This window comes from Homo sapiens, chromosome 4 (genome assembly GCF_000001405.40).
Source record: "Homo sapiens chromosome 4, GRCh38.p14 Primary Assembly".
Lineage (NCBI taxonomy): Eukaryota > Metazoa > Chordata > Mammalia > Primates > Hominidae > Homo > Homo sapiens.
Genome location: NC_000004.12, coordinates 64901060 through 64924229, shown reverse-complemented (window position 1 = coordinate 64924229; position 23170 = coordinate 64901060). Strand labels below are relative to the sequence as shown.

At 32.6% G+C, this 23170-nt stretch overlaps 1 long non-coding RNA gene across 1 annotated transcript in view; it reads left to right on the top strand.

Annotated features, from left to right (window-relative positions):
* The window catches only part of LINC02232 (long intergenic non-protein coding RNA 2232), a 90220-nt gene extending 80271 nt beyond the window's left edge, over positions 1-9949 (top strand). The window contains exon 7 of the long non-coding RNA NR_033976.1: positions 6587-9949. This is a non-coding gene — a long non-coding RNA (long intergenic non-protein coding RNA 2232). The remainder of the gene's footprint in view (positions 1-6586) is intronic.
* Positions 9950-23170: the final 13221 nt, after the last annotated feature.

Sequence of the window (23170 nt, the reverse complement as noted above, 5' to 3'; positions counted from 1 at the left end):
GTCTTATTTCTGGGTTCTCTATTCTGTTCCATTGTTCTATGTATCTGCTTGTAACAGTACCATGCTGTTTTGGTTACTGCAGCCTTGTGGTATAGTTTGAAGTTGGGAAACGTGACGCATCTGGCTTTGTTCTTTTTGTTTAGGATTGCCTTGGCTATTCAGGCTATATTTGGGTTCCATATGAATTTTTAAATAGTTTTTTCTAGTCTGTGAAGAATGTCAATGATAGTTTAAGAAGCATAGCGTTGAATTTATGAATTACTTTGGGCAGTATGGCTATTTTAATGATATTGATTATTCCTATCCATGAGCATGAGATGTTTTCCAAATCAAAGATGTGATCTCTGATTTTATTGAGCAGTGGTTTGTAGTTCTTCTTGTAGAAATCTTTTACATTTCTAGTTACCTGTATTCCTAGGTATTTATTCTTTTTATGGCAATTGTGAATGGGAGTTTATTTCTGATTTGGCTCTCAGCTTGACTGTTGTTGGTGTATAGAAATGCTAGTGATTTTTGCACATTGATTTTGTATCCTGAGACTTTGCTTAAGTTGTTGATCAGCTTAAGAAGCTTTGGGGCTGAGATTATAGTGTTTTCTATATACAGAATCATGTCATCTGCAAAAGATAGTTTGAATTTCTCTCTTCCTATACTAATACCATTTATTTATTTCTCTTGCCTAAGTGCCTTGACCAAAACTTCCAATACTCTGTTGAAGAGGAATATTGAGAGTGAATATCCTTGTTTTGTGCTGGTTTTCAAAAGAATGCTTTAGCTTTTCCCCATTCAGTATGACGTTGGCTATGGGTTTGTCATATACAGCTCTTACTATTTTGAGGTATGTTCCTTCAACATTTTCTTTATTAAGAGTTTTTAACATGAAGCCATGGTTAATTTTATCAAAAGGCTATTCTACATCTATTGAGATAATTATGTGTTTTTTGTCTTTAGTTCTGTTTATGTGATGAATCACATTTGTTGACTTGGTATGTTGAACTAGCCTTGTATCCCAGGGATAAAGCCTAATTGATAATGGTGGATAAGCTTTTAGATCTGCTGCTGGATTTGGTTTGCTAGTATTTTGTTGAGTATTTTTACATCAATGTTCATCAAGGATATTGGCCTGAAGTTTTCTTTGTTGTTGTATCTCTGCCAGGTTTTTGGTATCGGAATGATGTTGGCCACAGAATCAGTTAGGGGGGAGTCCATTCTCCTCAACTTTTTGGAATAGTTTCAGTAGGAATGGTACCAACTCTTCTTTAGTAGAATTCATCTGTGAGTCTGGGCTTTTTCTTTTCTTTTTTCTTTTCTTTTCTTTTTTTTTTTTGGTGGGTAGGCTATTTTTTACAGCCTCAATTTCAAAGCTTGTTATTTCTCTGTTCAGGGATTCAATTTCTTCCTGGTTCAGTCTTGGGAGGGTGTATGTGTCTAAGAATTGATACACTCCTTATGTTTTGTATTTTATGTGCATAGAGATATTCTTAATATCCTCTGATGGTTGCTTGTATTTCTGCAGGGTCAGTGGTAATATATCCCCTTTGTCACTTCTGATAGTGTTTATTTGAATCTTCGCTCTTCTTTATTAGTCTAGCTGTTCCTCTGTTTTGTTAATTTTTTTTTTTAAATACAGGTCCTGATTTCATTGATTTTTTGAATTTTTTTGTGTGTCTCTATCTCCTTCAGTTTAGTTCTGATTTTGCTTGTTACTTGCCCTCTGCTAACTAACTTTGGGCTTTGTTTGCTCTTGGTTCTCTAGGTCTTTTAGTTGTGATCTTGGGTTATTAACTTGAGATCTTTCTAATTTTTGATGGGGGTTTTTAGTGCTATAAATTTTCCTCAACACTGCTTTCACTGTGTTCCAGAGTTTCTGGTATGTTGTATTGTTGTTCTCATTAGATTCAAAGTACTTTTTCATTTCTGCCTTAATTTTGTTATTTACTCAAAAGTCATTTGGGACCAGTTTATTCAATTTCCATGTAATTGTATAATTTTGAGTGAATTTCTTAATCTTAATTCTGAATTTGATTGTGGTGTAATCTGAGATACTTTGTTATGATTTCAGTTTTTTTTTTTTTTTTGCATTTGGTGAGGAATGTTTACTTTCCAATAATTTGATGAATTTTAGAGTATGTGCCATGTGGTGATGGGAAAAATATATATTCTCTTGTATTTGGGTGATGAGTTCTGTGGATGACTAACAGATCCAGTTGATCCAGTGCTAAGTTCAGGTCCTAAATATCTTTGTTTATTTTCTTTCTCAATGATCTGTCTAATATTGTCAGTGGGGTGTTAAAATCTCCCACTATTATTATGTTGGAGTCTAAGTGCCTTTAAAGGTCTCTAGGAACTTGCTTTATGAATCTGGGTGCTCCTGTGTTGGGTGTATATATATTTAGGTTAGTTAGATTTTTTTTGGTGAATTGAAGCCTTTACCATTATGTAAAGCTAAAAAAAACCAACAACAAAATTGAAACTTTTACCATTATATAAATGCATTACCCTTCTTTGTCTTTTTAAAATCTTTGTTGGTTTAAGGTCTATTTTGTCAGAAACAAGGATTGTAACCCCTGCTTTTATCTGTTTTTCATTTGCTTTGTAGGTTTGTCTCCATTCCTTTATTTTGAACCTATGTGTTTTATTGCCTGTGAGATGGGCCTCTTGAAGACACCATACCAATGGGTCTTGGTTCTTTATCCAGCCTGCCACTCTGTGTCTTTTAATTGAAGCAGTTAACCCATTTACATTCAGGATTAGTATTGATATGTGTGGATTTTATCCTGTCATCATGTTAGCTGGTTATTTTGCAGACTTGTTTATGTGATTGCTTTATAGTGTATTTCAGTGTGCTTTTGTAGTAGCTGGCAATGGTCTTTCATTTCCCTAATTAGTGCTTCCTTCAAGAGCTCTTTAAGGCAGGTCTGGTAGAAACAAATTCCCTCAACATTTGCTTGTTTGAAAAGGATCTCATTTCTCCTTTATTTATGAAACCTAGTTTGGCCAGATATAAAATTCAGGGTTGGAATTTCTTTTCTTTAACAATGTTAAATATTGGCTCCCAATCTCTTCTGGCTTGTAGGGTTTCAGCTGAGGGGTTCACTGTTAGTCTGATGGGCTTCCCTTTGTAGGTGGCCTGCCCTTTCTTTCTAATTATTTTCAACATTTTTTTCTACAATTTTGACCTTGGAGAATCTGATGATTATGTGTTTTGGGGATGATCTTCTTTCAGAGTATCTTATTGGGGTTCTCTGCATTTCCTGACTTTGAATGTTGGGTTGAGAAAATTCTCATGGATGACATTCTGAAATATGTTTCACAAGTTGGTTCCATTCTCCCCATCTCTTTTAGGTACACCAATCAGTCATAGATTTGGTGTCTTTACATAATCCCATATTTCTTGGAGGTTTCATTCATTCTTTTTCATTCTTTTTTTTCTCTATTCTCATATGCCTGTCTTATTTTAAAAAGATGGTCTTCAAGCCTTAAGTTTTTTTTCTCCACTTGGTCTATTCTGTTATTAATACTTGTGATTGCTTTATGAAATCCTTGTAGTGTATTTTTCAGCTCTATCAAGTTGGTTATGTTCTTCTCCATACTAGCTCTTTTGTCTGTCAGCTCTTGTAATGTTTCATCATGATTTTTAGCTTCCTTGCACTAGGTTACAACATACTACTGTAGCTCAATGAGCTTCATTTCTACCCATATTGTTAATTCTACTTCTGTTATTTCAGCTGTTTCAGCCTCAGTCCAGTTCTGAACTCTTGCAGGAGAGATGATATGGTCATTTGGAGAAAAGAAGGTTTTCAGAAACGTTTGAGTTTTCAGCATTCTTGTGCTGATTTTTTTCTCATCTTTGTTGGCTTATCTACCTTCAATCTTTGAAGCTATTGACTTTCAGATTTTTTTTTTCCTTTCTTTTTTCTATTTGTTGACCTGGAGGGTTTGATTGTGGTATAAGGTAGGTTCAGCCGCCTAGCTTTGCTTCTGGAAGATTTTAGGGGACCTTTGTTCAGCTTCCAACTCCTAGACTGTGTTCTCTAACTCTGGGGGACTTGTATTGGGCACCAACTTTGTTCTCTGGCTCCTTGAGATTTGGAGTTAACTGTGCTGGAGAACCAACATGCAGCAGCTGCAGCTGAATGCTAAGAAATGCAGGGGTGCCTGTCTCCCTGTAGGCAGTTACCACAGTGGTGGAAGCAAGAGAGTTTTGGAGACTGTGTGTGCTATTACAGTGGAAGTGGTTTGAGTTTGCAGCAGGGTATTGGCCAGCACAGGACCATGTGCCTTCTCTGTGACCCACAAGCAGTAGTGATTGCTCCAGATGTGAGAGGATGACCTGTTCTCTGAGCAACTTTAGCTAAGCAAAGTGATGTGGGGAGTTGCAGTGGGCTTGGGGGAAGTTGCAGTATAAGGAGGAAACATGCAGGCTGGTGCGTGCCACAGAGGCCATCTTTCTGGCACTCTCTACTGGTCAGGCATGGTACTCCTGCATGGAAACTATGGTGTGGGCCCCCAGGGTGCCCAAGACTGCCCTGTAAGCTGGCGTGATAGGTTACTATTTATTTTCATCTTTACTATTAATTACTTCCCTCATCATCGTCCTTGGAATTCCTTTATCTCTGTCATGATTAGATACAAAATTTCTGGATACCTGATTTTATATTTCTAAATATTTTTGGTTGATTCCTTCCTTTTTATAGATCATATTCTGTAGTTATGTTGCTTCTTCAGAAAAATTAATTTTTATCTTAGTATCTGATAATACTATTCTACTCAATGACTTGATTGATATGGAGTTGCATATAGATTTTTTTAATCCGAATTTTAAGTTGTCACTCCATGGTCTTCAATCTGTCATTATTAAAGTTCTAGTTTCTATCACTGATCCTTTATATTTGTCCTACTGTTATCAAACAACTCCAAATGTGGGTTTGTGTACCCAATGCACAGTAAACCCATCACTGACACATCAGCACCTAGGAGCAGAGAAAGGTTTATTCAATTTGGCAAAAGTTAGAGAGTAGGAGAGATGGTCACTCAAATTTGACTTCCTTTCAACATAAAGGAGGGCTTTTATGAGCAAGATAGAAATATGGGAGATGGGATCTCCTAATGATCAAAGCTGATTGCATTCTTCAGATTCTAGATCTCATCAGTTCATTTCAGAGTTATAGACACCAACTACGAGGTCTGCATGATGTAAGAAGCATTGTTCTTTAAAAGAAAAACAAATTTATCAATCTTGCAGGGAGTTCTGGAGGTTAGCATATGAATGAAGTTAATCAATTACCAGTGACTATCCTTTACCAAAATGACTACTTTCAAGCAAGCTTTCGTGGAAGATGAAACGGATAACATAAAAGGAAAATAAGGAAAATAACCATCTTATGGTCTTTATAATAAAGGTTTGGTCACACTACCATTATCTTCTGGGGAGCTTTTAAGTTCTATTCATGGATTTTAGTATTCTAAAAGTCCATGAAAATATGCTCTGATTAATAAGTATTTTAAAATTAATTTTATTGGACTTCAGGGTAATCTTATTTTTTGTGTGTATTGGAGGAGGAATGAAATTCTTGTATTTTTTTTAATTATTATCTTCTCTCTTTTTCCTATGTTCTTAACTTCTGAGCACTTTATTGATATTGGATCAGTTTGTATGTAATGTTTTCCAATATTTTTTCCTTTTTGTTCAATCTTTAGAACAATATATTTGATGCAAGATATAAAGATACATAATATTTTAATGTTCCCTCTGTGTGGGTGAATCTCACATAGTGGCCTTACCTATTCTGGAACTGGTGTCATAGACCAATATGACAAGGAATTGGGGTGCTACTTTTGATGTTCCAGACATCTCATTGCCTTATCTGAACTTTTTAATTTCTTATATTATTCAAATATTTAGTAAACATTGATATTAGGTAAGGTTTGACAATCTCAGTCTGTGTGTTAGCTTAACTAATTTCCAGCATTCTGAGAGTTAAGCATAGTAAGACAGAATTCTTTTTTATTCTGTTGGCTTCTGCTTAATTCAAACTTTTGTTTCAATATGACTCATTTTTATTACATACATTGTGCCTGATATACTGTTATTTGGAATCTCTTAGGTTTAATTTTTTTCTTCTCCAGAAAGTAAGCTTCATCTCTTTTTCTTAGAAGAGGGTAAGTGCCTGGATACTTGGATGAGTGAAGGAGGGATGGAGAATTATCTAACTTAGCTTTCTAAATACTTTCAAGTAACTCCTCTATTTCAGCTCTACCATTATCTCACACTTAAAAAGTTACTGGGGTCTCCAATGTCTGAAAGTTTTAAGTTACTTTAGTTCATTTTTCTTGTTAACATCTTTAACTCTAGACATCTTTTTCTTAGTTACTCTCTGACCATCTGCTTCATATTTTGCAAAATTGTATTGTAAACTGTTTTATGTTGCTTCTCTTTTCCCTTTGTGTTTATGCATGTCTATGCAATGTAATCATTTACTGTGATGTTAGTAGACTTTTGAGTGGGATTGGACATCATATGCATGTAGAAAATCTTTTTCAAAACAAAATTTACTGGAATATATTTCAAATCTCAGTAATACAGATTATGCAGTGTCACTCCCCAGACATCTATAAAGATTTCTACTGAACAAGTCAGCCATCGAAGCAGATTATTCACCATCTGTGGTCATCAATTCCAAAGGAATTTTTGTTTCTGGTAATGGCCAAATAAGCATCTATATGAATATTTTCTACAGATAATAAATATAAACTGTGAACAAATGTAAAAAGAAAAAAAAAAGACCAGCCAAAGGCACTGGAAATGACCCTAAAAGAGCATATTCTGAAGAGTAGTCTACAATAGAAAAGGGAAAATGACACTGACTGAGTCTCTCATTTACTTTAGCTGTTAGACTAAAGGCAGTTCTAAACCATGCCATGGATAGTAGCCAAAACTGCGATAGAAAGGGCATTGTCTTTCTGATTTTAAAGGTGTACTAGAAGAGAGAGTTTGGGACAACCATAGCTGCTAGTAAGTGAGAATACACACTGCACAGGAAAAGAGCCAGAAAAAGAGAAGGTCGCCAACTTGAAATTATAAACTGTGTCCATGTTTTTAGAATAATGACTTTGTGGATCTGACTCCAAGCAAGTCACCTAAGGATAAAATAACTGAAGCAAGACTTCAGCTGCCACACAAAGATAGATTTTGCAGAGGTGTGATTTCAACCAAGTAAATTACATTACAGACTAAATAGAAATAAAAGATTCAGAAGAAGATTACAAAACTCATGATCTCCAAAAGATAATATTCATAATTTCCAACATGCATCCTAAATTACTCCAAAACATGAATAAAGAAGAATGTTTTTTATTCTCAAGATAAATGAAAATCAACAGAGACTGACAGCAAAATGACTCAGATGTTGGAATTGGCACAACAAAGATTTTAAAGGAATTATGCTGAGTGATGTAAAGGAAAATATGTTTGAAATGAATGAAAAATTAAGAAATCACAGCAAAGAGATAGAAATTATAAAAAATGACTACATAAAGACAGTAATAAGGTGTCTTTTCAATTTATATGGAAGTACAAAGTTCTAGCATATTCAAAGCAATTCTGAAAAAAAGCATAGTTTAAAGCAATTCTAAAAAAGAATAGCATAGTTTAACTATAATAAATGTTTTCAAGAATATTATAAAGCTATAGGAATCAAAATAATATGGCAATGATGTAAAGATTGATTAGCAAAGCCATAGAATAAAATTTGAAGCCCAGAAATAGATTTGCACATATTGGGGGGGTTATTTAACTTTTTACGAATATATTAAAGCAATTCAATGAATGTGCAGGGAAGGAGTAATTCACATGCCTGGGTTGCTCAAACCCTGTATATTTCCCATAAGCATCTTTCTTCAGGGTGGGCCCTTGGCTGGCTCCTCAAAAATGAGCTCCGAGGCTCTGGAATATTCTGCCTGAGAAGAGTGCTTCTGTATGTCTGACACCTCCGTCCATGTGGTAAAAATAATGTTCAAACTGTTTACACTAATTATGTGTTTTATTGTGAACAACTGTTTTTGTAAGCCTGAGACTTTAGATTACAAAGTACAAGTTTAAATGGGTAGTTTTTGTTAACAATGAGATTTATGGTAAGTGTATGAGGAACTAAAATCTCAACAGCTGAGGACAGTTATACAGGTGCTGCATGCCTACGTGACTGACCCCTAATAAAACCTCTGAAGACCAAGGCAAGATTGAGCTTCCTGACTGGAAATACATCACATGTATTGCCACACATCATTGCTGGGATAATAAAGCACATCCATAGGACTCCACTGTGGGAGGACACCTAGAAGCCCATGCTTCATGTCTTCTAGACTTTATCCCATGTACCTTTACAATTTGCTAATTTTAATGTGTATCTTTTCATTGTAAAAGACACTAAACATGGAGATAGTAGGTTTTTCTGAGTCTAGAGAATCTTCATTCTCTAGAATGAAGTGGTAGTGGTCATGAGGAGTCTCTACCCATAAATAAAACATATTTTTAATGAATGATACTGAAATAACTATATTTATATGGAAAAAATGAATCTCCACCCATAACTCACAATATACCTAAAAATAATTCAAAATGAATTATTGACCGAAACATAGAAGCTTATACAAAAGATTTTCAGAATAAAATATGGAAGAATGACTATTTGACATAGAGCTAGGCAAAGTTTTCTTATAGGTAGATAAGATACAGGACAAATGATGACATATGGAAAAAATGATATGTTTGACTTTACCAAAAACAAATCATCAGTGAATCAAAATACTCACAAAATACAACTCCTACAGCAAAACATTATAAAGACAAACAACCTTTTAAAATGGGAAAAATGTTTGAACACACATTTTATACATTAAGATGTATAAGTGGATAATAAACACATAAAAACTGTTCAGCATCACTAAGTAAGTAGGGAATGGTACATTAAAGCAACATTGTGATATCATTACACACCCTCTAGGAATGGCTAAAATTAAAAAGACTGAAAACATCAAATTTTGGCAAGGTTAGGGCCAATTAAAATTTTCATACATTGCTGGTAAAAATGAAAATGTCACAACCACTTTGGAAAAAATTTTTAAAATTTTTTACAAAACTTCATATAGATCCATTATATGACCCAACCATTCTACTGCTAGACATACACTCAAAATGAAGAAACACGTACAAAAAGATTTCTACAAGAATGATTTTAGCAGCTTCACAACAAACCAGGTGTTGGTCAATAGGAAGATGAAAAATCAAAATATAGTATAGCTATAAAATACAATAATATTTAGGATAAAAATAATAAATGCATGTTATAACTAATAATATCATGACTGAATCTCAAAAATATTTTGCTGAGTTAAACAAGCTTTGCACAAAGTAGTATATTATGTATGATCCCATGTATAGAAATATCTAGAATAAGGAAAAACAAATTATGATAGAAAAGATGTTGCTTCTGGTGATTGGGTGGAGCTCTGATGGACTGGGAAGGAGCATGAGGGAGCTTTGTGGGTTGATGGTAATTTATGTACCCTGACAGGGGTTTGGTTTACATAGCTGTATTCATTTGTCAAAACTTATATTAAATGGTGCAATTAATATTGATGCATTTCATTGTATGTAAATTTTACCCTAAAATAATTTTAGACAAATTGTAAAACCTAGTTAAAGACATATATGCTGATATTTTCAGGGTTACCTCTCTTGATGTCTGCAACTTACTTTGAAATGCTTCAAAAGGAAAATAGGATAATGGATGGAAATAGGGAGAGAGAAATGGATCGATGTGTAAATAAAACAAATCTATCTAAATGTTAAAGCTTAATTGTAGATGATGAATGTAGGAGTGTTGAATGTTAAATTCTTTCAACTTTTATGTTGAAAAATCGTCATAATAAAATATTTGAAAAATGTATACATTGAAATATTACAGCAAGTATACTATTTTTACTGTGATTTTGGAACTGAAGTTACTATTACTGATAGTATACTGAAGTATACTATTTTTACTGTGATTTTGAAACTCAAGATAATTTCCTGAAGAAAGTTTTTTGACAATTTTACTTTTGAAAATTCCCATTGATCTGTTAGTTATCTTCAAAACGTCTGGAGAAAAGTCAGGATATATATATAACAGCAAATGGGCAATTTCTACTGTTTTCATTACTTTGGTTTTAGAATTGCCACTACTGCTTGCTTAATATTTAAAATTTGCTGGTCTTAAAGCAACAGTCTATTTTCCAATCTTGGGGAAGATTATGGTCGTATAATATACCAGATGGACGCATTAGTACTGTTAAAAAAAAAGACTAGTTGCCTATATGAATTGCAAACTTAATAAAGAAAATGAACTAGGAAGAATGAAATAAAAAGTTCTATTAGGTTTATTATAGTCTACAATGTTCTCACTGTCCAGAAATAGTCTACTGGAATTTGGAGATATTTCATCATTATGCCCTTATATTGTCCCTATTCCTTCTGTTTAAATTTTTATAATAGCTCTTTAAAATACGTTAGTTGTTACCACCTTTTAATCTATCTCTATTTCATGCAAGCAATAAGATAAATGACTAAATGAGCTCAATTTAACAACATTGTAGGCATATTCTCACACTTTATCTTATAGATCATCTTAACACACTCATTGCACTTCACTGAAATACCATGCCTAGTTCTTAATATCATTTCTAAACTTAATAAGGAACAAGTCAAAACCATAACAGAATAAAATAGTATTCAATAAATCTTTTCAATGTTTTTGCAAACTTTATAAATAACTGTCTAAAGTATGAACTTTTATTATTTTTTTCACATAATATTATAATTTTACAAGTGCAACTGAGACCCTCCCATATTCCTTCCTATATTCAATTCCTTTCTTCTTTCTCCATTTGATAGCATTCATCCTGCATGTAACATCCTTGTTGCTACAACATTTAAAAAATAACCAATGTAAAGTTTTCAAAACAGAATTATTTGTACTCCTCTATTTTATTAGTTTATACCTATTTGTATAATATAATAATAGAAGGACTTTGTGATTGCATGTGGCTGGCATCACTCTAACTTTATGCAATGCGTTTCACTAATGTGTTGGCTGTGAATAACACCACCCTTATCTCCCAGGATGGGCCCTAATTTGCATAATGCATTCAGAACCATCTAAATACTCTGGTGACTGTAATTGCTGTGATGGTAACATCTTAATGCTTGAAGAGACATTTCAGGTCACAGTATGAGGCGTAGTGATAATCAGGTTAAATTTGGTGTTTTTCTGAATGTAGGGCTTGAAGGTGAGGAAGCAAGGAGGCCATATTTTTCAGCGCGCACAGGACAGTGTAGAAAAGAACAGGCAAATTGCAGCTCAAGACATTTTTAATTCAAGGCATGGGAGAAAAAAAATTTCTAGGGCATCTGAAGTCTCATGTTTACACGCCAAACTTTCAATAGTTTGGAGTGTAGATGTGAGACTTCAGCTGCCCTAGAAATTTTGCTACCAAAAAGCAAGCTATCCTTAGGATTGAGTGAAGATACAACAGAAGGGAGAGGTACACAAATCACAAGAAATATAAACAAAAATATGATCAAACCATGCTTTCAAAGTAAACTTTTTCAAGATATGTTTAATGATATAAAGCAATACATTCCAGTATGGTTAAAATTAATTTGAGTTGAGTTTTAAGTCTTTTATAGCTAATATTACCCTAACTGAAGCATGTACTTATGACATTGCATGGTTACTTCTTGTATGACTTTCTCTCTACTCAATCAAGAGCTCCTGAGAGGAAAAGCCATTCCTTCATCCCATATCTGTAAAATTTAGCATAGAGTCTGACTCATATAATAAATCAGTAAATAGTTACTTAAAAATGAGTGGTAGTCATGGTCATATACATTTTTAAAAATTAAACATCCATTTTTTTTGGTCAAATCAAGATGGACATATGCTTGATTCTCGTTATTTGTGGATTCCATGTGTGTGAATTCACCTACTCACTGTTATTCTTAACCCCCAAGTCCATGCTCACTGAGCTTTTGCAGTCATTCTCTCAGTTAACGGAAACAGGTGAGTGGCCAGATGTGCTGCTTCCATAAGGGTGGATGCTCTGCCTTCTTGTTTTAATTCTCACACAGTGATGATAAGAGGATGGTAGGGGGCAGTGCATCCTAATCCAAGAAGCTTCACTCTGGAGTCAGTTGAAAGGCCAGATAGAAATTTGTCATCTGGTAGTTGGGTAGTCTCAGGTAAGTCACCTAACACTTCTGAATTTACTTTTCTCTTCTGTAAGATAAATAAAATAGAAGCTATTAGGATGACCTGGTTTTTGGGATTTAAGATTATAATCTATGTGACATATATGTGTACACATACACATTTCTCCTAGAAACAGTGTTTCAGTGTCTGCTAATTCAGGATTTGCGGATGAATTTGTAAAACATTAGTGTAATGAATAATAAAAAATTAACTGTATCTGCAAAATCATACTTAAATAAGTGCATGAATATATTTGTTTGGGTAAGGCTATAATAAGATATATTAGAATAAGTCATCTTGACATGCAACTTGTGGCAATGTCTGCAATAGCTGAACTTTAAGGTCCCTGTAATAAGGGAAGAGTAAACAGAGAAGGCATACTGGACATTAACTACATTTAAAGTTATGTGAATCACTTTGCTTCAAACTTTATTGATTATACTCATAATGGCCAAACCTAGTAGAAGAAGGAACTAGGGAATTTAGAAGAGCACATTGAAATTTGTTAAACCTACACATTTGCAGCCACAATGTATATACTATTTGATTGTATAAATTACATTTTCCAAAATAAACTATGCAAGTTCTTACATAAAAATTCTCAGGAAATGTTCTAAAATTTAAATGTGTAGTCAGATAATAATAATGTTATGCTCCTATTGGAGTCTGTAAATATTTTAAAAATAAAATTAGAGAATTGGATAGCTCCCATAGTCAATGGTAATAGTAGAGTCAGTTTTCTATCAATAACTTCAATAGCATTGTTTATAAATATCACTATAAGTTTCAAAATATTAGTACACATGGTATCTGAAAAGCAAATAAAATAGGAAAAATTTATTTTAAAACATTATATTATCTACATTTTATAATAATATACCTAATATGCCTTTCTTTAATCTCCAGATACATTTTCAGTAAAAGCACTTCTAAGTATAAAGCAACAGTTTCAGTTATTAATGTAAACAACACTTTTAGTAAATGCAGAAACTCAGAATATTGTGCACTTACTGTTTTTGTTTAAGATTAGCAATTTCTTTTTTTGTAATTTAAAAGTACCTCACCTGAAAAAGTGTCTTGAAGTCAAAGTAAAACATTTGAAAAAAATATAGCTGAAGGGGAATTAGAATAGAGATCAAACAAAAATGATTAAGAATCTGAAAAGACATATCTTTTTTTTAGAATATTAAATTTATTCCTTTCAAAAAAGAAAGTACCAGGCCCAAATGGTTTCACTTGTGAATTCTTCCAAGGATATAATTATGGATGAAATGATGCAAATTCTCCAAATTTTTTAAAGAAACTAGAAAGAGTAACAGAAAGAAAACTTCCTAACTTATTCTGTGATTCCAGAATTATCCTAATACCAAAAACAGATCAATACATCACAAGAAAGAAAAACTACAGAGAAATATCTTTCATGAGCATAGAGGTAAAAATCTGCAACAAAATATTAGCAAATTAAATCCAACAATGCACACAAAAAAATTAAACACTGTGACCATGTGGAATTTATTCCAGGAATGAAGGGATGGTTCATTATTTGAAAATCTATCAGGATAATCCACCACATTAGCAGGCTACAGAAGAAAAATTATGTGAGTATAACAAGTAATGCAGGAAGAAAAAGCATTAAAAAAATACACCATTCATGATTAAGAACTCTCAGAAAAGTAGGGATAGAGGAAAACTTTATCAACATGATAAAGGAAAGCTACAAAAACAAATAAACAAAATCAGCTAACATCATTGATACGGTTCGGCTCTGTATCCTTGCCCAAATCTCACTTTGAACTGTAATAATTCCCACATGTCATGGGAGGGATCCAGTGGGAGGTAATTGAATCACGGGGGCAGATTTCTCCTGTGCTGTTCTCATGATAGTGAATAAGTCTCACGGGATCTGATGGTTTTATAAAGGGTAGTTCCTCTGCACATGCCCTCTTGCCTGGCACCATGTAAGACATGCCTTTGCACCTCCTTTGCCTTCTGCAATTATGGTGAGTCTTCCTCAGCCATGTGAAAGTGTGAGTCAATTAAACCTCTTTTACTTTATAAATTACCCAGTCTTGTATGTCTTTATTAGCAGCATGAGAACAGACTGATACAGTCATATTTAATGGCGAGAAACTAGCCTTAATATTAGGAAGAAGGCAAATATGTTCACTCTCACCATGCATATTTAACATAGTACTGGAAGTATGTGCTAGTTGAGTATGACAAGAAAAGGTAATAAAATGTATACAGATTGGGAAGGAAGAAATAAAATTGTCTTTATTCAGCATGATTATCAATATAGAAAGTCCAACAAATCTACAAACACACACATGCACACACACTCTCACACACATACACACGCAAATCTCCTGTAACTAAGTAGCAAGTATAGCATTAGGCAATTGGAAGTTAAGAGAACAAGGTATCAGTAAACATGAGTTAGGATGGATAAAAACCAAAAAAAAAAAAAAACTGTCAATACCAATTGCTGAAAAGAATGCATAGCAACAAGAACTCTCATTCATTGCAGTGAGAATGGCATTGTTAATTTGAAAACTACTTTGCCATTTTCTTAGTAAATTAAACATAGTATTACCATATAATCTGGCAATTATACATCTAGGTTTTTATCTGACTAATTTAAAAACCTACATCCACACACATACAAAAACGTTCACATAAATATGTATAACAACTTTGTTTATAGTGGCAAAACTGAAAGCAACAAAGATACCCTTCAATATATGAATGAATAAACAAAACATGGTACATGCATAAAATTGAATGCTGTTTAGTGATAAGAAATTAGCTATCAAGCCAAGAAAAGACATGAATGAATATTAAGTGTGTATTTCTAAGTGGAAGAAGCCAGTCTAAAAAGCTGCATATAGCATTATTCCAGTTGCATGATATTACTAAAAGGCAAAACTGTAGTGACGGTAAACATGTCCGTGGTTACTAGGGATTAAGGAGAAGGAAGGGTTGAATAGCTGAAGTACAAGGGATTTTTTTTAGGGCAGTGACATGATTCTGTATGATAATGCTGTGGTAGATACTTGATACTTGACACTCTGCATTTGTCAAAATCCCTTGAACTTTACAGCACAGAGTGAACCTTAATGTATTCTATTTTAAAAAATTAGGAGGTTAGAAATTCCGGGGTGGAATGCAGAATGCTACGAAATAAATCTAACTATATTACAAATGTATGAAATACCTCACTGAAGGGAGTGGTGAAAAAACGTCCACCTACTTAATTTTGGAAATGAATAGAATCTGTTAGACTAAAGAAAAAATAAAAATGAAACAAAAAACAAAAAATGACTTTACAAAAGCCCTGTATGCTAGTTAATAAAATTGCTGCTTACATTGATACTAGTTAAAAAATACAAACCACTATGCATGTATGTTATAGTTGAACAAATAAGTAAATTGATGGTGGGTAGTAGAAGCCAGTTTTCTGACTACTGGAGTTGAAAGTTGTAGATAGGCAAGGTAAGGAGGCTAGAATAAACCTTTCAGTAGTGAATTAGTGTTGGAGATGTCAGCAAGAGACCATGTTTATCTTAACGTAGTTATGAATTGTTTACATATAAATATTTAGAGATCTGTATATAAACATGGGTTAATATACACCCATGTATTTCCTTGTTCTGTCTGCTAAAAGGGCCTACAAGCAATGACACCCAGTAACAATGAGCACAACTAACACCTAGATCTTGGTTTTTAGTGCCATTATTAAATAAAAGGAAATAGGAGTCCCTGGAGAAATGGCTGCTTTTAGGATTGGGGCAGGAAATGTGCTAGATGAGCCTAGGGAATCTTTTAGTGCCAGAAACTAAGGATGAGCTGATAAATACATAAATAAACAACTACAGATCCCATAATGATGCCAGTATGTCAAAGACAGAGGGTAACCAATTTAAAGAGCTCCCAACGGCTAAAGCTATAATAATTTGGAAACAAAATAAAGTAGTATTTGATTGAAACCTAAACTATAAAATGAATATCCACGAATAATACTGACATAAATAAATAATTGAACAAATAAATAAATTGGGGAGATGAGACAAATCTCCAGTATATAAAAATTCCGAATAAGTTATGTAGACTGCCATCATAAGAGTTCAGTCCTAAAGTCTGGGCTGGACATAGTTATTTCCTTTCAAAGAGTACAAGAACACAGTGGAGAAACCTGACAAATACTACCTGAGCCAGATGATCAAGGTCAACATCAATAATGATAAGTCATGTTGACAGTGTGTATCCTTGATATGATGGGATAAAATGGCACTTTACCTTTGTAGATTTTCTTTCAAAAATCCATAACACAATGAATCATGAGAAAACTATCAGATGAATCCCAATTGAGGGGCATGCTACACAATCCATGAGCAGTACTCTTCAAAACTATCAAGGTTATCAAATACAAGAAAGGTCTGCAGAACTGTCACAGTCAAGAGGAGCCTTGTCTTACAGAAATAATAACCAAATGAGGTATGAAATCCTAAATGGGATCCTTGACAAGAAAAAGGATATTAAGTAAAAATTAAGAAAATGTGAGTAAAGTATAGTTTTTAGTGAATAATAATGTATCAATATTGGTTCATAAATTGTTAACAAATATACCATAATATGAGATGTTAATAATAGGAGAAACTTGATTCAAGGTACATGGGAACTCTTTGTTCTAATTTTGGATATTTTCTGTGAATCTAAAACTATTTCAACCTAAAAAGCTTATTTAAAAAAGACAACAGTGAGAAAATAGGTAGTCAAACTACAGATTGTGATGAATAATAAAATATTGATCAGATAGAATACTTACATTTAGCTTATATAAAAATTACTAGAACTAAACAATAAAAAGACAAAAATTTAGAAATAGGAGAAAAGTTATTTTCATTAGTTACTTTTAAATGAATTATTCCAATTGATATTTTTTTCTGGCTGAATATTTTGGTGGGAATTTCAAAATAGTCACTCTACTCTTTAATTGATATTTTAATATATTAAAAGAAGCTCAACTCCAATCAGAGAGTCTCAAAGTGGTTTCATCTTGGAATACGAAGTGAATCATTGCTCTGTGAAATGATGTGGCTTTGCTTTATAGATTGTATATTTGTGTGGGTGAAATAGAGGGAGAAAGAGGGTAAAGCCATAACTCATGAGGTTCAGCTAAGAATTTAAATTGCATAGTCTGCCTTCAATGAGAAAGTAAATTGCATAATCTGTAAATACCCCAGTATTAACGCATTTGTGAATGTCTTTTATTGATTAAGCTTTTTCTTAAATCAAAGTGTATATTTCTTAACTACTCAAACTCAGAGACTATATTATTTATATAAATTTATTCTACTATATTTATTCTTTACTTTGGGAGAACATTTGTATGTTTCACTAATAAGCATTCCCTATTTTAATGTTACTGGTTTGTGTAATAGGTGAAAATAAGTAGTAAGAATTGAATAGAAATTTCCCCAAAATGAACATATCAGTACAAAAATAAGTAGTAAGAATTGAATAGAAATTTCCCCAAAATGAACATATCAGTACAAAATAAAAAAGTAAGATTTGAGGGTTGTGGACAGAGTGCTTTGTTTCAGATATAAATTACTATATTTTAAGTTCACAGTAGGAGCCTCTTCATTTAAAAGTTAAATGGAATGAAGCAGATACTGTAGTTGTTGCTTACTTCAAAATTAGCCATTCAATTAATGAGCGATGTTGGCAAGGGTTAAGGATCAAGGACTCTGCATTATTCATTCATGTATTTATTATGTATTTCATGCCACAGTACATTACCCTGATTCCATGTCTTATAAATAAGAATTGGGAACCTTGTAACACACTGAATACAAATGTATCTTAGCTGTGTAGAAATGTATTGCAAGCACATGCATTAAAATTATAGCATATTAGATCTAAGACCTTATAGGTCATTTAGTACAATTTTATCATTTTTCAAATGGTATGGGGTAGGCATAAGAGTTGTTTTGCAGAAATGAAAGAAAGGATAGGTTAAATAGCTTCTCAAAAGTCATATGCATGCTTAGTTTCTGAACTAGAGCAAGAATCCAGCCATCTTTATTTTCAATGTAACACACTCTTCACTTCATTAGGCTAATAATTTGAAAAATGTGACAAATAACATGATATCAACTTTATGTAAAAATGTATGAACTCTAGCAAAAAATAAATAGAATATAAACTGTATATATATTTTAAACAAATATTTTCTGATACTAGAAAATTATATTAAATACAATTTGTTATTTTACATTTTACTGTAGTTGAAAAGAAACTCTGTTGTAAAGTAATGACAATCAGATACTTAACATTTTGCATTTCAAGACTTTTAAGCTCTTTTCTTTTCCATCATTTTATATCCGTAGTTTAAGTATTTATTTATTTTTAAATTTAATTTGGATAGATAGTATCTGATTTAATTTTCTATATTGGATATGTGTAGTCTTACTCTTCCTAAATGTGGAAAGGTAGGTAATTCAATCCTGGAACTTTTCTATGTAAAATAAATTTTAATGAACTCTAAATATGTGCTAAATATTTTTAAAAAGCATAGAAAATGATCATAATACTTTATTTATGGCTAGCTGATATTATCCTAAAGTGTTTCTGTTCTTCTTAATCTTCTGTTTCTCTTACTAATAGCTTAAATAATCTCCAGTAAAGCTGAGGATTCGAAGCAGCTTCACAGAGTAGAAAGAAAAATGAGTGGGAGGTTAAAAAGCATACATGACATCTAGCGTCATCACTGACCTGTTTTATTGAACAAATGATTTGTCTTCAGTTTCCTTAATCCTGTAAAAGAAAAGGGACAAATAACATCTTTGTAACTATTTTATCCACTTGCTAAATATCATAGTTATGAGCAAGTCTTACAGTTTACTTCACTGATCTAACATCATATAAACTGAAATTCAAAAATAATGACAATTTTAGTTAAAATAGAACTAAAATTTTTAAGTATCCATTAAAAATGTTTAAAATGGAGACTGCTGGTATTTAAATAAATATAGACTACAAATGAACTATTTAGGTCACTACAAGTTAAAGACTATTGAAAGTACCATTTATGAATTGTGTAGCTCTTAAAAAGGTGTACGAATAGTTCAAGAGGTGAACAATTCATAAATGGTACTTTCAATAGTCTTTAATTAAATAGTAGTGACCTAAATAGTTGATTTGTAATCTATATTTAATTACGTACCAGCAAAGTGGTGAAAAATACATACATGGTACTTTTTCATGGTAAATAATACCATTTCCTTGAGTATTTTTAGAATCAGCTTTTCAAAACTCTAGCAGAGTTTCTGAAATAAAATTTGATTTTTGAAAGAAATATAAAAAACAAGTTGTTTCTTAACCAAATGCTCTAGATTAGGTTAAAATTTTGAAAGTTTAAGAAGATTCTAGTTCATTAATAATTATAGATCAGGGAACCAATTGGGTTTGAGAGTTTTTAAAAACTATATACCATGTACTTGTTTTTGTATTCCATTTAACTGTAGAGGATCAATATAGAAGCTTCTATTATTTCTGGCAGCGCAGCAGATCCTATAACCTGAATCACCTTTGAAATCGATATTTGAGCTCCCAGGAAAATAAGTAAAATTCCTATTAGCCAAAGAAGAAAGAATTGAGAATTTAAGCAAAAAGAACATAACCTGACTTTATGGTCTTCTTAGGTGATGCTGGTGGCTTCCAGGCTCAGTAACCACAGTCCTTTCATTTTCATGCCCAGACATAGAAATAAAGGATGAGACTTGGGCCCTATGAAGTGAGAGGTTATAACTGTTTCCTCCATAAAATGCCAAGGACTATAATAGGCTATACTGTCAGTGAAAAGGTAGCAGAAAAATAAAATAAATACTAGAGAATAAATCTTATATTTACTTTTAAAAAAGCCTTCAAATGCTATAACTTTAAAATCATGTTACATTAGTGCCTGTTTCATGAAAAGCACTTTCTGAAAATATATTCATTTATTTGCAGATATCTGTCAAAATATACCAGGTCACCCAGTCCCAAATATTATTTGATAAAGGAAAATTGTAAGAGTGTACACAAAGCAGAGTTTGTCTGAAAAAAGGAAAGGCTAAATATGAGATTGCAAATCTTTTTGTATATTTATGGCATTTTTCATATAATAATTATACATGCAGAGTAGCCATTTAGAATGTTTTTATAATCAACGGTGGGAGGAATCTCTTTTTACATATGATGAGAATAAGCCATATTTTTGATTGAAAGAATAGCTATTGTACATAAATGCATCTGGAGCTTTTCACTTAGAAGTCAGATGTTTCATTCATGAATATCACAGTCAGTGAATGTTAAAAGAAGGCTAAATGATTCTAGATTGGTAAGGCTGTACTAGCGTCCTATTTTGTAGGGCATCTGTAATAGCTCTATAATTACAGGAGAATTACATGTTCCCACAAATTACTTGATAATTATACTTGATATTACCAAGTAATTCACAGATTAGTTACTACATAACTTGCAATTTTGATATCTCATTGAAACATATTTCTTGCCTTATTTTAAGGGTTTGCTGATACTCTAAATAGTGGACATCCAGAATGCATTTCTAATTATTTTTAGGTTACTTTTCTGCATAATTTTTTTTTGAAAAAGCAAATATCACAAAGGGCAAATAAATGAAGGTATATGAGTCATTTATCTTGATATCTAATTTCTGTTCATCATACATTTCATCATTACATTTTCTTTAATCAAGATGGCTCTGTGGAAACAGTCATAGGATTCTAATAAAAGTGACTTTTAAACCAAAATAGTTAACTGTGTAAGTTAATATAGAGTACATTGATATAATGAAAATATTTATTTTGCACATGCACTTATAACTATATTTGGATTGAGAGCAAACCTTAAAGGTCAAATGGCAAGTCAGTTAGGTTACACCAGAGACTCAACAACATTTGCATAACATTAATTTGCATAAAGAAATTATACGATTTTAGAACCAATGAAGCTAATATGAGTGCAACTATGGAGCAACTGAAAGGTGTTTGAGTATTTGCGTGTTTTAACAAAAACTGAGAAAAAAATATGGAATGCTTCCTTGATATCCTATACCAGTTGATTGTCAATTAATATTTTATGTTGTGATTATGGGATGCATAGATCTTTGCTAGCAAGGAGACAACTCAATGAGGAAGTAAGAGTTGTGGCTGGTACTATGTCTCCCTTTAAACATGTTACAAGGATCATTTAGTTCAAAGAACATGAGGAATTCAAGCAGATTGGCAAATTTCTAATGAAAACTAAAGTATTAGGCCTCTCAAATAAAAATTTGTACCCTCTTAAAAAATATTAGGAATTTAAAGACAGTAACAAACAGCTGAGCATTAAATAAAACATGAGGTTTTTCTGAGGATGGAGTCTTTGCAGCTACACAAGTTGCATGCCTATGTAGCTGGCCCTGGGAGCAAGATGTAGTATATTTACTTCTGTGGCCCACATTGGCCATGGCACAACAAGAGGGAATCCAGAATGGATAATGCTTACAATTCCAAGCTAGCAACTTAAAATTTAGAAATAAAAAATATAAAATTCAAATGGTCAACTATGTAGAAAATAATAAAATTATTTCACTGTAAAGTGCTGAAACACTTCTAAATTTTCTCCCCCCAGATTTTTTACCATATAAACTTTGTTATTAAAAATGAAAAGACTGAAAATAAATGACTGAAATATTTATCTTAAGAAATCAAAGAATAAACCACATATGAAAATATAAGATCTTACCATCACTTTGTCGAAGAACTATTTTAACTAACAAGACAAATTAAGAATCATGTGTCTTCACATGGCAAAAGCTATATATACAATAGGTTAGCTATTTTTCAATCAATCAAAAGTATGGCTAATTATCAACATATGTAAAAAGAGATTTGTCCCACATGGAGTTTAAATACATTCTAAATGGCTACTCTACATGTATAATTATTATATGAAAAGTGTCATAAATATACAAAAAGGTTTGCAATCTCATATTTAGTCTTGCATTTTTCAAATGCTGCAAGGCAAGGGAGCTCCGTGGAGTCTCTTTTATAAGGGCACTAATTCCATTTTATGAGGGCTCCCATCACATGACCTAATCACCTCCCAAATGTCCCAATGCCAAATAACATCACATTGGTGATTAAGTTTCAACAGGTGAATTTTAAGGAAACACAGCCATTTAGTCTATAGCAGCGTGTGAATGAAACTCACAAGATGTAGTGGTGTTTAATTATCCATTAGTACTTTACATATAATTTCCACTCTTCTTTATTTGTAATTTTTGTGGGTACATATTAGATGTACATATTACGGGATAAAGAAAATATTGTAATACAGGCATACAATGTGTAATAGTCACATTAGGCCAAATGGAGCATCCATCACCTCAAGCACTTGTCTTTTGTGTTACAAACAATCCAATTAAATTCTTTGGTTATTTTAAAATGTACACTTAAATTATTATTGACTATAGCCACCCTGTTGTGCTGTCATATTGTATCTTATTCATTTTTTTAATTTTTTTTTTTTTTTGGTGCTCATTAAACCATCCCCACTTTCCTGCCTCCAGGCCTTCACTACCATTACCAGCCTCTGGTAACTATTATTCCACTCTCTATCTCCATGATTTCAGTTGTTTTAATTTTTAGCTCCCATAAATGAGTGAGAACACATGAAGTTTATCTTTTTCTGCCTGGCATATTCCACTTAACATAATGTCCTCCAGTTCTAACCATGTTGTTACAAACGACAGAATCTCATTCTTTTCACTGTTCATTATAAAATTCAGGAGAGAAATGTATCAAAGAAAGAATTGTCCAGTTTCACGGGAAATT